This window comes from Homo sapiens, chromosome 6, assembly GCF_000001405.40.
Source record: "Homo sapiens chromosome 6, GRCh38.p14 Primary Assembly".
In the NCBI taxonomy this organism is placed as follows: Eukaryota; Metazoa; Chordata; class Mammalia; order Primates; family Hominidae; genus Homo; species Homo sapiens.
Window position 1 is genome coordinate 110,654,121 of NC_000006.12, and position 15,181 is coordinate 110,669,301.

At 37.9% G+C, this 15,181-nt stretch overlaps 1 protein-coding gene across 16 annotated transcripts in view; it reads right to left on the bottom strand.

The window, feature by feature from the left end:
* CDK19 (cyclin dependent kinase 19) overlaps window positions 1–15,181 on the bottom strand; it is a 205,878-nt gene that overhangs the window by 44,143 nt on the left and 146,554 nt on the right. For 13 of the 16 annotated variants that reach the window (NM_001300964.2, XM_011535630.3, XM_024446376.2 and 10 more), the window contains one exon: window positions 13,314–13,454. The exons of 2 other annotated variants lie outside the window; for them this stretch is intronic. In NM_001300964.2, the coding sequence (NP_001287893.1) occupies window positions 13,314–13,454 (141 nt within the window). Of the gene's footprint in view, window positions 1–13,313; window positions 13,455–15,181 lie in introns of those variants that run through there. One more of the 16 variants, XM_047418471.1, reaches the window with a different exon arrangement.

The window sequence follows — 15,181 nt, forward strand, 5'->3', positions numbered from 1 at the left end:
ACTATACTTTTATTTAAATATTGTTAGTGGTGACACAACTTTCCTCACATTTGATACAAACATACATTCCCAGGAAAAAACCCTCAGTTCATGCTCCTTTCTTTACACTGTTCTTCATTGTTTACCCTGAACAAATAAGATTCTGCACTGTAACAAATAGGGCAAAGAACTACCTAAGAGTAAAATCTATGCCTTTTTCTTCTTTTTTTCTTAAGCAGTTATTTGCTAATAGCATTAGTCTATCATAACTGCTTACCCCTTAAAACAACTTCATTGATTAGATAGTAGATGATTTAAAATATGGAGAATCTGATCATTGTGGTTGCAACTTCCTAGAGGGCAGGGAGAGTCATTCTGTCACAACTTTATACGTCTGCTGAGAACTAGGTACATACTGTGTTTAATACATATTTGTTGAATGAGTAAACAAATAAGTGAATGAGCTAAATTGCCAGTGGTTTGTACTCATAATCCATCCAGCTATGGGGTAAGGTATAAGTGTCCTCTGAGAGGCAAGTTCCCAATTTGAAAAGAAGATGGCTGCGTGCAGTGGCTCATGCCTGTAATCCCAGAACATTGGGAGGCCAAGGCGGGCAGATGACCTGAGGTCAGGAGTTCGAGACCAGCCTGACCAACATGGAGAAAACCCACCTCTACTAAAAATACAAAAAATTAGCGTGCATGGTGGCGCATGCCTGTAATCCCAGCTACTCGGGAGGCTAAGGCAGGAGAATCACTTGAACCCGGGAGGTGGAGGTTATGGTGAGCCAAGATCATGCCATTGCATTCCAGCCTGGGCAATAAGAACAAAACTCTGTCTCCAAAAAAAAAAAAAGAAAGAAAGAAAGAACAGAAGTTGAAGGAAACTAGAATAAATACTCCAAAACATGCCAAGCTCACTTCTGAATAACGGTTTTTAAAAGTTATTATTTTACTTTATTCTGGGGTTTCAAAAATCCTCGATAGGCCGGGCACGGTAGCTCACGCCTGTAATCCCAGCACTTTGGGAGCCTGAGGTGGGTGGATCACGAGGTCAGAAGTTCGAGACCAGCTTGGCCAACATAGTGAAACCCTGTCTCTACTAAAAATACAAAAATCAGTCGGGCATGGTGGCACGCACCTGTAGTCCTAGCTACTTGGGAGGCTGAGGCAGGAGAATTGCTTGAACCCAGGAGGCAGAGGTTGTGGTGAGCCGAGATCGCGCCACTGCACTCTAGCCTGGGCAACAGAGCAAGACTCCATCTCAAAAAAAAAAAAATAAATAAAAATAAAAATCCTCTATATGCTAATGGCACCAAAATCTATACCTCTAGGTCTCTAACTTTCCATATATCTCAGAGATATGTTGACAGTAGCCATTACCACAGTCACCTCAAACTCAACTTGTCCAAACTAAATTTTTACTTTTCCCTGTCAAAACTCCTCTTTTTTTGGTTAATCCTTTCTCAGTCACAAAGTCAACAAAAGCAGAAGTCTGAACTTGCATTGACGCTCTCTTTTCTCCCTCAAATCTAACCAATCCTCAGATCTGACTACTTACATCCTACATTTTTGTCAACTATCTCCCCTCCTCTCAATTTGGATCACCTCTGTCATAGTTCAAGCCTTCCTTATTTCTCCACCAGCTGACTTCAACCACCTGATAAGGCTACTATCCCTGTGTCCTCAAACCAACTCTCCATAGCCCTGTCTGAGTGGTCTTTCTTTAACAAAAACCTGACCAGCTCAGGAAACTGGACACAGGAAAAATCCACACTTCTAAACAGGACAACTAAGATCCACCATAATCTGGTCCTCTTTCTCCTGCCTCTTCTTTTACTACTTCTTGCCTTGTCCCAGTAATATAAAGTGCTTGTACTTTCTTCTCTATGCCCTTATTCATACTCCTCTGCCTGGAATGCTCTCCCCACCCACCTCTCTTCATCTTACCAATTTCTATGAATCCTTTCCTATTCAGCTCAGTATGAATTATCCAAGGTACTTAGTACCTTATGCTTAGCTCATCCTTGAATGTACCTCATAATTTCTTTTGTAAACCTTGTTGCTTTATGATTATGTTTGTTGGCTCTTCCCCACCATGTACTCGTTGGGGGAAGGGATCGTATTCATTAACTCTGTATTCCCAGTACCCAGCATACTATCTGGTACATATTAAGAAGCCAAATATGTTTGTAATGCAAATATTCTGTATTTTGTCTGTAAACCACTACTTCCCCCCACAGAAATCCAGTAATAAATAAATAGCTAAAAATGACAATTAGGTTCCATAATTACATTAGTGTCATAACTTTAGGTACACTATAGGCTAAATAGGTCTTTCTATTCAGAGACTCTAACTACTGTTTAAAATGTTATTTCTAATGAAAATGCCTTTCCAGTTTGAAATTATGTATTTACAACTATATGTAGGCTATCTGTAAATCAGGAGAAACCTGTAATATTAAATGCTATGACTAATTTCATTTTAGCTTAAACTGGTTTAACAGTATCTGTAATATAACACCTATGTTAATCAAACTTCAGTATTCACAGTAAACAATGCTTGCCAACCCAGCACTGCCAACAGTTAACAATGTGTTTCTTTGTCTTTCAGGAGTAGTTACTGGCCTGGACAACAGAGATAAGGTTTTCTTTTCTCTAACAAGAACCAATAAAAAGCAACCATTATAAAAAGTTCAATGTAAAACAAATACATGTATGTAGAAGGCTATTTACCTAACTAACTTAAAGGTCATTATGCGAGTATAATCGCGATATATTCCACATTAACATCCATGGTAGGAATAATGCTACAAAGGTATTTGGATTTATTCCTGTTCATTAATAAGTACAATTCATCCTTAGAGAAGCAACACTGGTAGAGAGTAGCTTTCTATTTATGTTTGGAATACCCACATCCAGATCAAATAATTTGGTCTTATTATCATGAGAAATTAAGAATGTCAGAGATAGAAATTCTCAGACTGAGCTCTCTTGTTTTACTGATGAAGAAAGAGAGGCCTAGAGAAGAGAAAGACCTACAACTTGACCAAGTTCACTCTGTGCGGAGAGTAGCAGGTCCAGATGAAAACCCAGTTCTCTCAGAGATGCACTCCAAGCCAGAGTTGTGACAGCCACAGCACCCTGGGAAAATGAACAGTACTTAACTGATTATGGCCCTCCCTATAGAAGACTTCTACCTGATGTGTGCTTAGTTGAGGATATGATCCCACAAAATAACTATCATATGTAATCTCTTGGTAAAATGAATCATCAGTCCTTGCATGCAAGATTCCCTTATTCTTATAAGGTATCTATGTTGCTAGTCTAATAGAATACCTGTGGTGTTAATTGCCCAGGTATATATTTATCAAAACTCATCAATTTGTAATTAAAATGGGTATACCTTACTGTATATAAATTCCACCTCAATAAAATTAATTTAATAAAATAGCGTGCCTAAATTGATTCTTCAGTAATAGCCAAAGGCCTCAAAGTACTGGGGCTCTGTCTGTAGCCTTTGGTTCTCAACTAGTTCCTGCCATTGCTATCAATGTGGGATGTATCTTAATTAGACCCTCTTAGTGACCTTGAAGTTAGTTTGGTAAATAGTCTTCTTAATACATGTGTTTGTCAGCACAGGCCACTAAAACTTTATGCTTAAGTCAGTGATTATCAAATGAGCCCTGACCCTGAGTTAAACCTTAAGAGAGTTTGTATGTCACTGTGAGTCAAACCATGGCTCCTTGCAAGCTGGCCCTCTTGGAAGTGGGATTCTTGGTGTGTACCCTCTCACTATGGAATAACTGGTGAAGCATTAATTCAAACTGACAGATAGATGTGCAGGACTCTGTTGAAAGCTCCAACTACAGGGCTATGAACTCAGATGATGAAAAAAACTGTCATGCCAAAAAGAAAAATCATAGCCCATGTCTAGAAAACACATCAATATTACCTTCTTACACATGTAAGGTGTGTGTCACCATATCCAGAGCACTGTAAGAAACATTGTGTCTGATCTTCACAAGGCCTGTGTAGAGGCAGCAAGACAGGAGCATGGATGGCATCACTACCATCAAAGGCCTCCAGACTGCAGACATGAATGGCTAAGCCCTAGACTATCAAGGACTCAGCTTTAAGGAACTTCTTAGGAACCAGAGGTCACTGGCAGGAACACTAGTATGATTCTTCAGCATGACAAGATTTGCAATTGTCCAAAATCACCTAAAATAGCAGGTCAGAAGATATCCAGGCCATACTTTGCTTTCTGATTGCTAACTATGCATTTTAAAAGAAATCAGAATGATTAAGTCATATTAAAAGAAATACTACTTCTTGTCATAATCCTCTTTAAGTAGAATGTTAACTGATAAATCAAATAAAAATAACAAATAATTAAGTCATTTGACTAGCATGGAATTGCTACCTCCAAAGCCTCTCTTAGTAATATATCATTCAAGAAGGAAGAATGAAAAGTACATTTGAAGCAGTTGCTAATTGTGATCTCATTTAATCAAGCTTTTTAAAAACTTCCATATTTTAAATATGAAGACTTGGCAAAAATATTTGTAATATTTAAATATAAACAGGATAAAACACAGCCTACTTTTTTTGTTTTAACACCAGGAGGCATATTTCACATATTTACACTAGATCTCTGCTTTGTAAAGCTGAAGGGGCTAGGAAGAGTATGAGACGACAGGCATTCTGGGGGGAAAAAGAGGTTAAAGAAAGGGCATCTTTGGATTACTGGCAGGATCAAGAAAGAATGTACAGAAGCTTCTGCAGAAAGAAAATGAGATATTCAGGAACTCTGGAGCTACATTCAGGAACTTTGGTGGAACTGAGGGTCAACAACCATATAAATTACTTCTCAGTATTCCCCATTTTACAGATGAGTAAACTAAGGCTTAAGGATCAAAATCTTAGAAATAATTTTTTAAAGTGTAGGTTCTCAAAGTTTCTATATCTTAAGGACTAAGTAAGGCTAAAACTCTAGAGAACGATATTAAATGCCTGCAAAATGCTGGCATAATGGTTACAGTAAGATTTTAAGGGTTTTGCCTTATCAGGCCCTATTTAGCAGAGACAAAATTAAAGACCTGCTGTATCTCCTTGTCAGACAACTTATGAAGAGAAGCTATGCTGCATGCAGAGATTTCTAAGCACTTATTTTTAATCAAATGTTCAGAAAGATGAACAGTACAGCATTTTTCTTACAGCTGAGTGAAAACAGAGGGTGGTCTTTGACTTTTGCATACATAGTATTAGACTTTCATACAGAGATATCTTCACTCTCTTCAGCTAAAGGTCTTTTTCATGTTTCTGCATAGTGTCCTTTCAATGCCTCTTGGCTAGCTGTTACAATTCAGCAGAAATACCAGCTTTGGAAAACAATGTTTTGCCATTATTTAAATTTTTCTTCGCATTTTTGCCTCTGCTTTACACAAAAGAGTAGAATATAGAAATAAGAAAGTACTAATACTAGTGATAAGCACAGGCCTCAGACTGCATAAAAAGATGGAAATGTCTAGGTATGTTCAAAGTGATAAATTCTGGACCTCAATTGAATATATCCTCTGAACTTAAGTGGATTAAATCTGTGGTTCGACAGCAGGGAGGGGAAGAAGAGAAGGGGAGAGGAGAGGAGGGGAAAATTAGGAAACATATTTTGAATTCTGAAAATCACTGAACAATGTTTCTAAAAGGGAAGAGATAACTAGTACATTATAACTATTTTTTAGCTCTTTCCAACCAGAACCGCCGCTAGATCTTACCATCCATGTAACTTTTACACATGAAAAAATTATATATGAAAGGTGGGGACTTTTTGCATTTTCTTCATTGCATTTCCACTAAATAAAAAATGACAATAACAGGATCCAGGTATCATTTAATTTTTGCTCTGTTTTGTTTTTTAGAGACAGGGTCTATGTTATGCAAATTGGACTGGAACTCCTGGGCTCAAGGTATCTTCCCACCTTATCCTCTTGAGTAGCTGGGACTGCAGGCATGTGCCATCACAGCTAGCCCCAAATATCATTTAAAACCTTCCTCAACTCTGATAGTGAAACAGGATATTTCCCTGACCCCTTCGCAGGCTGGAACTGGAGTGCATGGGTGCCAGCAGGGGCAAACTCCACTCACTCGACCTGCTCTCAGGAGGGGAAGCATGCAGGCGAGTGGGTACAGGAGCCGGGGCGAGTACTTTTGGGTGCCAGCAGGAGCAAAACTCTGTGCGGGGCCCATGGCAGTGTCTAAGGGGTGTGCCCATGACCCCTTAAGCCACAGAAGGAATGGTACAGTGCCCTTTTAGCTTTGCCATCTGTAGACAGCTTAAGTGTTAACAGCTCAGTGGAGGGTTGGTGTGACAGCCTTTTGCACCTGCACTCGTGGCACCCGAGTTCTTGTCCAGCATCCAGGAGGAATGAGGTCGCCTGGGCAAACTGAAGATGGTAAATGTAGGGGATCTGATTGCCAATAAAAGTGGCTCTCAGCAGGAAGGGGAGCTGAAAAGGGGATGGAGCAGGAAGCTAATCTCCCCCAAAGTCCAGCCATCTCCAACTAGACTCTTCTCCAAAGCTACACCATCAAGCTGTCCTTCTGAAGTCAAGCTGCTTATCTCCAATATGCAACCAGTCTCCAACCTCCAGCTGCTTCTCCTCTCTGCCGGCTGAGCCTGAGGTTTTTATGGGCACAGGATGGGGAGCAGGGCAAGTCATGGGTGGTTTTGGAAAAGGCAACATTCAAGTGGGAAAACAGGGATGTAAGTTCTCACTTTGGGCCACAGTATCAGGCCTTTAGGCTTGAGGGTAGGAACTTCACCAGGGACCCACCCTCTTCTGCCCAGAATTTCCCTGCCTCCTGTCCCTATCAATAGGTAGCTTCAGACATAGTTTCCAATCTTTCCCACCTCCTGGTATACACACTATTGTGTAAACTCCTCTCCTTGAGTGTGGACTATACCTAATAACTTGCTTCTAATAAGTATGAAAAAATATCCAAAGTCATATAATATATAGATGGTTCCCAACTTTCAATGGGGAAAATTAGGAAACATATTTTGAATTCTGAAAATCACTGAACTTACAATGGATCAATGTACTGATCTTTCGACTTTAGGATGGTGCAAAAGCAATACACATTCAGTAAGCTCCTTAACTTACAAAGAGGTTACTTCTGGATAGGCCCATTGTATGTTGAAGATACTAGAAGTTAAAAACATACTTTTGCCTTATAATATTTTCAACTTATGATGGTTCCAATGAGATGTAATTCTATGAAAAATTGGGGAATATCTGTACTTTCCTCTGCAACTAGAATATCTATTGCAACATTTCTTTTTTATTTTATTTATTTAGAGATGGGGTCTCACTATGTTGCCAGACAGGTGTATAGTGGCTATTCACAGATACAAACAGCGCACTACAGCCTTGTACCACTGGCCTCAAGCAATCTTCCCACCTCAGCCTTTGGAGTAGCTGGGACTACAGGTATGTGCCACCCTACCCAGTTTGCATCATTTCCTTTAATCAGATGAAGAAATCATATCTGACTCAAAGTATTGGCAAGGTTTTTTGTTACTTCATTCGGATAGACCTCTAATAGAATAAGTTTTTACTTCTGTGACAGAAGTAACAGCTACTAGACATTTTAATAGCTGTTAATTAACAATAAAAGCCAAAAGATTCCTGGATACAAAATTATTTTCTCTCTCAACTGGATCTCACAAAATTTTGATATACTGTACCATGTTTGCAGATCATATACTTATTTGTGCCCACAGACTTCAAAAGACTGCAAATTCACCCACTAATGTGAAAAGAGCTTTGGGATGGCAACTCCACACATTTTATTTATTTATTTGTATTTTTATTTTTTGGGGGGGGAGACTGAGTCTCGCTCTATTGCCTAGGCTGGAGTGCAGTGGCACGATCTCGGCTCACTGCAATCTCTGCCTCCCAGGTTCAAGCGATTCTCCTGCCTCAGCCTCCCGAGTAGCTGAGATTACAGGCATGTGCCACCACACCGAGCTAATTTTTGTATTTTTAGTAGAGATAGGGTTTCACCATATTGTCCAGGCTGGTCTCAAACTCCTGACCTCAGGTGATCCACCCGCCTTGGCCTCCTGAAGTGCTGGGATTACATGCATGAGCCACCACACCTGGCCTCCACACATATTTTTTAAAAGACAGACCTAAGGTTGAGACCCTAAAGCATTCATTCAAATCCTTCATTCAATAAAGACTTCGTGCTTATTGTGTACTAGGTTCTGGGATATGATAATGAAAAAGAAATAGTCTAACTGATAGTTCAATTTATATCACTGATCTAGTAGCAAGATTCTGAAATGAAGGAGTCATAAATCCACTTAATAATATTATCATTTAGCTGGCATTTCTCTATCATTGCTAAAGAATAATGTGAAATTGCCAGATGCCTTGCTGAAATTCAATTCAAATAACTTATGAGCACAAACAATATGCCAATGCTGGGACTACAAAAATTATTGAGATATGAACCTTGCTCTCAAGAAGCTCATAATTTTGAAAAAGAGATAAACTATATCTTGGCATTCTTCCAATCTACCAAAATAGTAATCCCATAAAAATGAGTCATCCTATATTTCATTTTCTTACTCTTAGCTATATCCTGCTATAAAATTAAAATACATCTTTTCTCCCTTGGTGTTTACAAGTTCCAAATATTTATAGACTTATGCCTCTACTTCACTGTCTCTCAGCCAAGATGAACATATTTAGCTCTCTTTCTCCTTTCCTTTTAAAGCAATTCTTCATTTTAAGTTATTTTTGGTGACTTTATTTACATTCTCTATTTCTGTATTAAATTCTAGGATTCGAATGACATAATTAAAATATTGATTCAGATATAAAATCAATCATAATGAAAAACACCAACCTTTATGATGATGTAATGCCTCTGTGTGTGATGTCCAAAACACTGACTTTTATTTACTTTAAATTTTTTATATTATACTGTAAATTTATATTTACTCTAACACATTTAATTATATGGATTTTCCAGGTTTCTCACATCAAATGAAATTTAGAGATGGTGAGCACTCAGTTGTGACTATCAAATAGTGTCAAGCCAAATTTCTTACAGCAATAGAAAATGAAGCATTAAGAAAAACAAAACTAGTCACTGACTACAACAGCAACTCTTAAACTCACAAAACATAATTTTTCAAATGTCTCCATCATCCTCTTTTTAAGACCATATTCATATTTCATATACTTTATATTTCTGTATCTACTACAGAATGTATTTATAAAGCAAGCATACAGTTTAAATCTACTCCTGAAAGTACTTTGGCAAAACCATGACAATATGGCACAGATATCAGGACTCAAGATTAGTGAATCAAGAATTGAAGAGGCTATCACAGACTAGATTCCTGTTGGTTCAAAGTTTCTTTTTCTTCAGACAGGGTCTCAATTTGTTGCCCAAGGCTGGAGTGGAGCGCAGTGGCACAATCGTGGCTCACTGCAGCCTTGACCTCCTGGGCTAAAGCAGTCCTCCCACTTCAGCCTCCTCAGTAGCTGAAACTACAGGTATGCACCACCACACCCAGTTAATTTTTTATTTTTTGTAGCGATGGGGACTCACTATGTTGCTCAGGCTACTCTTGAACTCCTGGGCTCAAGTGATCCTCCTGCCTTGGCCTCCGAACATGCTGAAATTACAAGCATGAGCCACCATGCCCAGTCAGTTCAAAATTTCAAATCTTATTAGAGTTACTCACTTGAGGAGTTGGAGGCATTCAGTAAATGTGTGGGTAAAATATAAACCAGTGCTATACTACGTAAGAACCATATTCAGAATGCATTTTCAACATTGTGTTCATGCCATTGATGAGGTAATAATAATCAGTGGTGGCTTTTCTAGTGGGGGAAAAAATCATTCTGTTGCTCACAAACTGTCAGTACTTAAACAAACAAAAAGACCCCAAAAACTCTCTAACTCTAGTAGGCTCCAACCCATATCTTCTGAGCATGACCTCACATTACTGCAATTCAGCTTATCCATATTTGAGCCAACCAGAACTGCACATCCTTTCTGAGATAATCCAAGTGCTTCTTTACCTCAGAAGTTTTACATCTAAAACTCCCTTGGGTTACCCTCATCACCCAAGTCTCTATTTAAATTCTAGTCATCCTTCAAAGTCCAGCTCAAATGCAACCTGCTCTTTCAAACTTACCCTTATCCCCTACTCAGAAGCTCTTCTGGCCTTGCATAGATTCAGTCTGTACTTCTCATGTAGCTACAATCACATTCTCTCTCATCTATCTTATAGTATAATTGTTTGTGTGTATGTCATATTTCTTCAAGGCTCCTTGAGAAGAAGGTGTTTGACATGGTCATATTTGTGTTGTTCCCATCCCTCTGTGCTTTACACATACAAGAAAACAAAAAATGTTCATTAAGGATAGTGTATTCAAATGCCTGATCCCCAAAATGTCAGTACTATTCTCCCTAATACTCATTCACTGAGGAAATACTTCCTCAACACCTATTGTGTACAGGGGCAGTAGTGTACAAAAAGAGTCAGACATAGATCTTGCTCTCTCAAGAAGTTCACAGGCTACGAGATGTTCTAAGAGATCTCTAAACTGCTATAATACTAATAGATAAATGCCATAACAGAAGTAAAGATGCAGTACAACAGGAACCAACAACAAGAAGAGATTGGTTCCAAGTAGACATGGATATGAGGGTAAGTTTTAATTAACATTTGTGTTGGGCCCTGAAAGACAGATAGTATTTGAATATGTTGAGACAGGGATAAGGGGTTTTAAGATAGGGGAAATAAAGGCCATTAAGGCAGGAAATCCCAGGAGGAGACAGGGAACACTCAATAGTTCAGTAGTAAAGTATACATGAAAGATGACAGGGATAGAGAAAAATTTTAAAGGCAGTTAAAGTTATAATTGGTAAAACTCTGAAAGCCAAATAAGGAAGTAGAGTTTTAGTCTGTAAGCAATGAGGAACTATTTCAAAGTTCTTGAGCAGGAGCTGAGTAATTAGTCAGAAGGTCGAAAGTAGATTGGAAGGGAAACAGATTGTTGACAACAGACAAGTATAGAGGCTAGTATCACAATGCAAGAAAGAGGTAATAAAAGCCTGAACTAGGAATGAGGACTAGAGATGAAAATAGATGAGTGCAAGGCATATTTTAGAGACAACACTGAAAGAACTTGACAAGTTCTGAATGTGGAGTGCAAAGAAGGGTCTGCAAAGAGGTAAAATAAATTTCTAGGCTAGGAAGAGGGTGGTGCCATAACCAAAAGAGAGGACACTAAAGCAGCAGCAAATCTGAATGGGAGGAAACTGAGTCCTGGGCATACTAAATTTTGGTATCAGTGGACATTCAGGTGACAATATCATGAATAAAATATGTTAAGCTATGCTGTTTAGAACAAAATATAGAATTTTATGAAAAAGAGAGAGGAGCTCAGATAAATTAATCTTCAATAAAAGATTCTGATCAATGATTCAAACATGAACATAACCTCAAAAATATAACCTGCATAAGTTTCATTAAGTGCACAGCAGATTAAAATCTAAAAGCCCGTTTATGAAAGAGTTCTTCTCATGATCTAGAACAACATCATGTACCCAATAATCTTTTTGTTTATTTGTTTTGAGATACGGTCTGGCTCAGTTGCCCAGGCAGAGTTTGCAGTGATCTCAGCTCACTGCAACCTCCACCTCCCAGGCTCAAGCCATCCTCCCACCTCAGCCTTCCAAACAGCGAGGACCACAGGAGCACACCACGCCCAGCCAATTTTTCTATTTTTTGTTAGAGATGGGGTTTTGCTATGTTGCCCAGGCCGGTCTCGAAGTCCTGAGCTCAAGTGATCCACCCACCTCGGCCTTCCAAAGTGCTGGGACTACAGGCATGAGCCACCACACCCAGCCCAATAATCATTTTAAAACATGCTGATTCAGAGCTAATAGTAAAGTGGACACATGGAAGCCTCAAAGAATCTTACAGTTAAAAATTATGAGAGGCTGGGCACGGTGGCTCACACATGTAATCCCAGCACTTTGGGAGGCCGAGGAGGGTGGATCACGAGGTCAGGAGTTCAAGACCAGCCTGGCCAAGATGGTGAAACCCTGTCTCTACTAAAAAATACAAAAAAAAAAAAAAAATTAGCCCAGCATAGTGGTGGGTGCCTGTAATCCCAGTTAATTGGGAGACTGAGGCAGAGAATTGCTTGAACCCAGGAGGCGGAGGTTGCAGTGAGCCGAGATGGCGCCACTGCACTCCAGCCTGGGCGACAGAGAGAGACTCTGTCTCAAAAAAAAAAAAAAAAAAAAAAAAAAAAAATTATAAGGAGAAATGCTTCCATTAATATGGTAAATGCATCTTTTGTGGTCACTATCATTTAACCCCAATTTATACAATATCACAGCAAGAATGGTCAAGTCAGATGAGTAGCCCTGACTGACAAGGTCCCAACGGATACTAACTAGATCCTTTCGTCAATAAACACTGCTCATCAGTTAATAAAATGGAATTTACCTAGATGTATCCCTACCATATCCCCAGAATTCTCAAAAGCCTAAGAAACAAAAGATCATGAAATCACGTTGTGGGGCCAAAATAAAACCTCCAACATAAACTGAGGAGAAAATGAGGATTACAGCTATTCCATAACCATATCTTCTTAAGAACAAACAAAAGAAACTTGCATCAACATAAACTAAAATAACAACAATGTGAAGATGAATATCTAGCAATATAATCTGATATCAGTAAATAATGGTTACATGTATACTGAATAAAAAAAAGTAAAATCAAACACTAACTTGCAGCTAATTTGCCTAATAAGTATATACCACCTGTTAGATTTATTTATTCATTTGTTTATTAATATTGATAACATTCTTTTTACTAGATGCAATGTCATTATTTCAGTTTAGATCTTAAGGGAAAGAAAAATGAGAACTCAGTATTAATTACATTTTTACTAATGATGAGCAATAATATGAAGAACAAATTGGATTGAAATGTGCATGCTTCACATGTGACTACTCCATTAAAATTGTACAGTAATCATTTGTTCAAAATCACACTGATATTTTACAGCTATGCATAAATATAATGGAATGATACCCACCAAATGTTAAATAGTGTTAATCTTTTTATTATAGGTTTATGGGTGATTTTTATCTTCTTTTTTGCTTATGTATATTTTCAAGTTTTTCTATAATTAATGTTTTATTATAATGGTACCAAGAAGAAAATATATTTTTTAAAAGAGTAGGGAAAAACATATTGATGAATTTAAAAGAAAAATACTTACCAAGTCTCTGTGAAGCACCCAATTTGCATGGAGGTAATGGATACCATCAAGAATCTGGTAAAGTAAGGATTTAACCATAGATCTTGGCAACTGCATGGGCTTTTTATTTGCTTTTGATGCACGGTGAAACTTAATAATATGCTAAAAATTAAAAAAAAACATAATAATATAGTCTTTGCTAATATCTATGCCAATAAAACACAATCAATGCTGTAACAAATGCTCTATATTTTAAAATTACTTATTAAAGGCCAATAATGACACAAAGAAAAATAATTTGAGTAATAAGTTCAACCAAAACAATCTATTTTGAGGGTGACTGTGACCATGTTAATGAGGGGTTATAATGACTAAATTTACTGAAACCATTAAGATTTTCATTAAATAGGACCAAAAGGTAAAAAGGACTGATATTGAAACAGCTGCTGAAGAAGAGTATTATATTCTCTACTGACAGAATGAAAGATTTAAAAAAGAAAGAAAAACTGTAAATCTTCACTTTCTATAAAAAGTTAGCACTTAGTACACTTGGGTAACATCACTGATCAGGTGTATATTTGAATTATTGGAAAAGTTTCATCTTTGGCACAGAATAAATTAGAATATATTCCTAGGAGTTAATGTTAAATATGAAATTGCTAAAAAGGAAGAGAGAGAAAAAATAGGAAATTCGATCCCATTGAAATAAATACAACTGGGTCACCATATTCAAATTTTTATATCCACGTTATATTGTGGGTTATAAAAACATTGTACTGAAAGGGAAAAAATGCTACCTGCCCCCGCAGTGCTCCCACCTCCACCTCCATCCCTACCCCACCCCTGCCTCTGTCCAAAACATAAAATGGACACTGAGGACCATCAAAATCCTATGCAAACAATACTGATGAAATTGTCAATAGCGCTCCAGTAACTTTAAGATGACCAAATGGTATGTAAAATTATTAAGCTATTTATACAGCTTTTTTATTTTTATAAACTGTTCAGTAATAACATTGATTTGATTTTAAGAAATAATAGAAAAATAGAGTTTATACTACAGCAGTGATTTCCAGTAGAAATATACTGGGAGCCACATGTATAACTTTCCACTTTTTAACAGCTACATTAAAAAAGAGGCTGGGTGTGGTGGCTCACACCTGTAATCCCAGCACTTTGGGAGGCCGAGGCAGGTGGATCACCTGAGGTGAGGAGTTCAAGGCCAGCCTGACCAACACGGTGAAACCCCGTCTCTACTAAAAATACAAAATTAGCTGGGCGTAGTGGTGTATGCCTGTAATCCCAGCTACACAGGAGGCTGAGGCAGGAGAATCACTTGAACCCAGAAGGCGGAGGTTGCAGTGAGCTGAGATTGCATCACTGCACTCCAGCCTGGACAACAAAAGTGAAACTCCGTTTCAAAAAAAAAAAAAAAGAAACAGGTAAAATCAATGTGTGCACTTCAGATACTTCTGAAGTGAATTTTCTAAATATTACAAATACTATCTTCTCAGTAAAATGTCAGTTTATTGCTTAAGTTCTTTAAAATCAACATTTATGATTATATTTATTTTGAAATATGGTATTGGACAGTACAGTTCTACAGGATCTGACTATTCCAATGTACAACATCATCTTCTTTCATCACCCCACTGATGTTCAAAGTAAAGTACATACACTGTCCAGTAAGCCTTGGTTGACATATAGGGGAATATAGAAAAATGGAGAAAATACAATGTCTGTGAATATCCATGAAAAGAATTGAACAAAAAAAACACACTGGAAATTCTTGTCCATATCTGCTATAATAGCATACACTCTGAAAGTTTCTTTAAGACCTGAGTCTGTTAAAGTTATTCCTCAACAGATTTATAACTTATATAGATGAC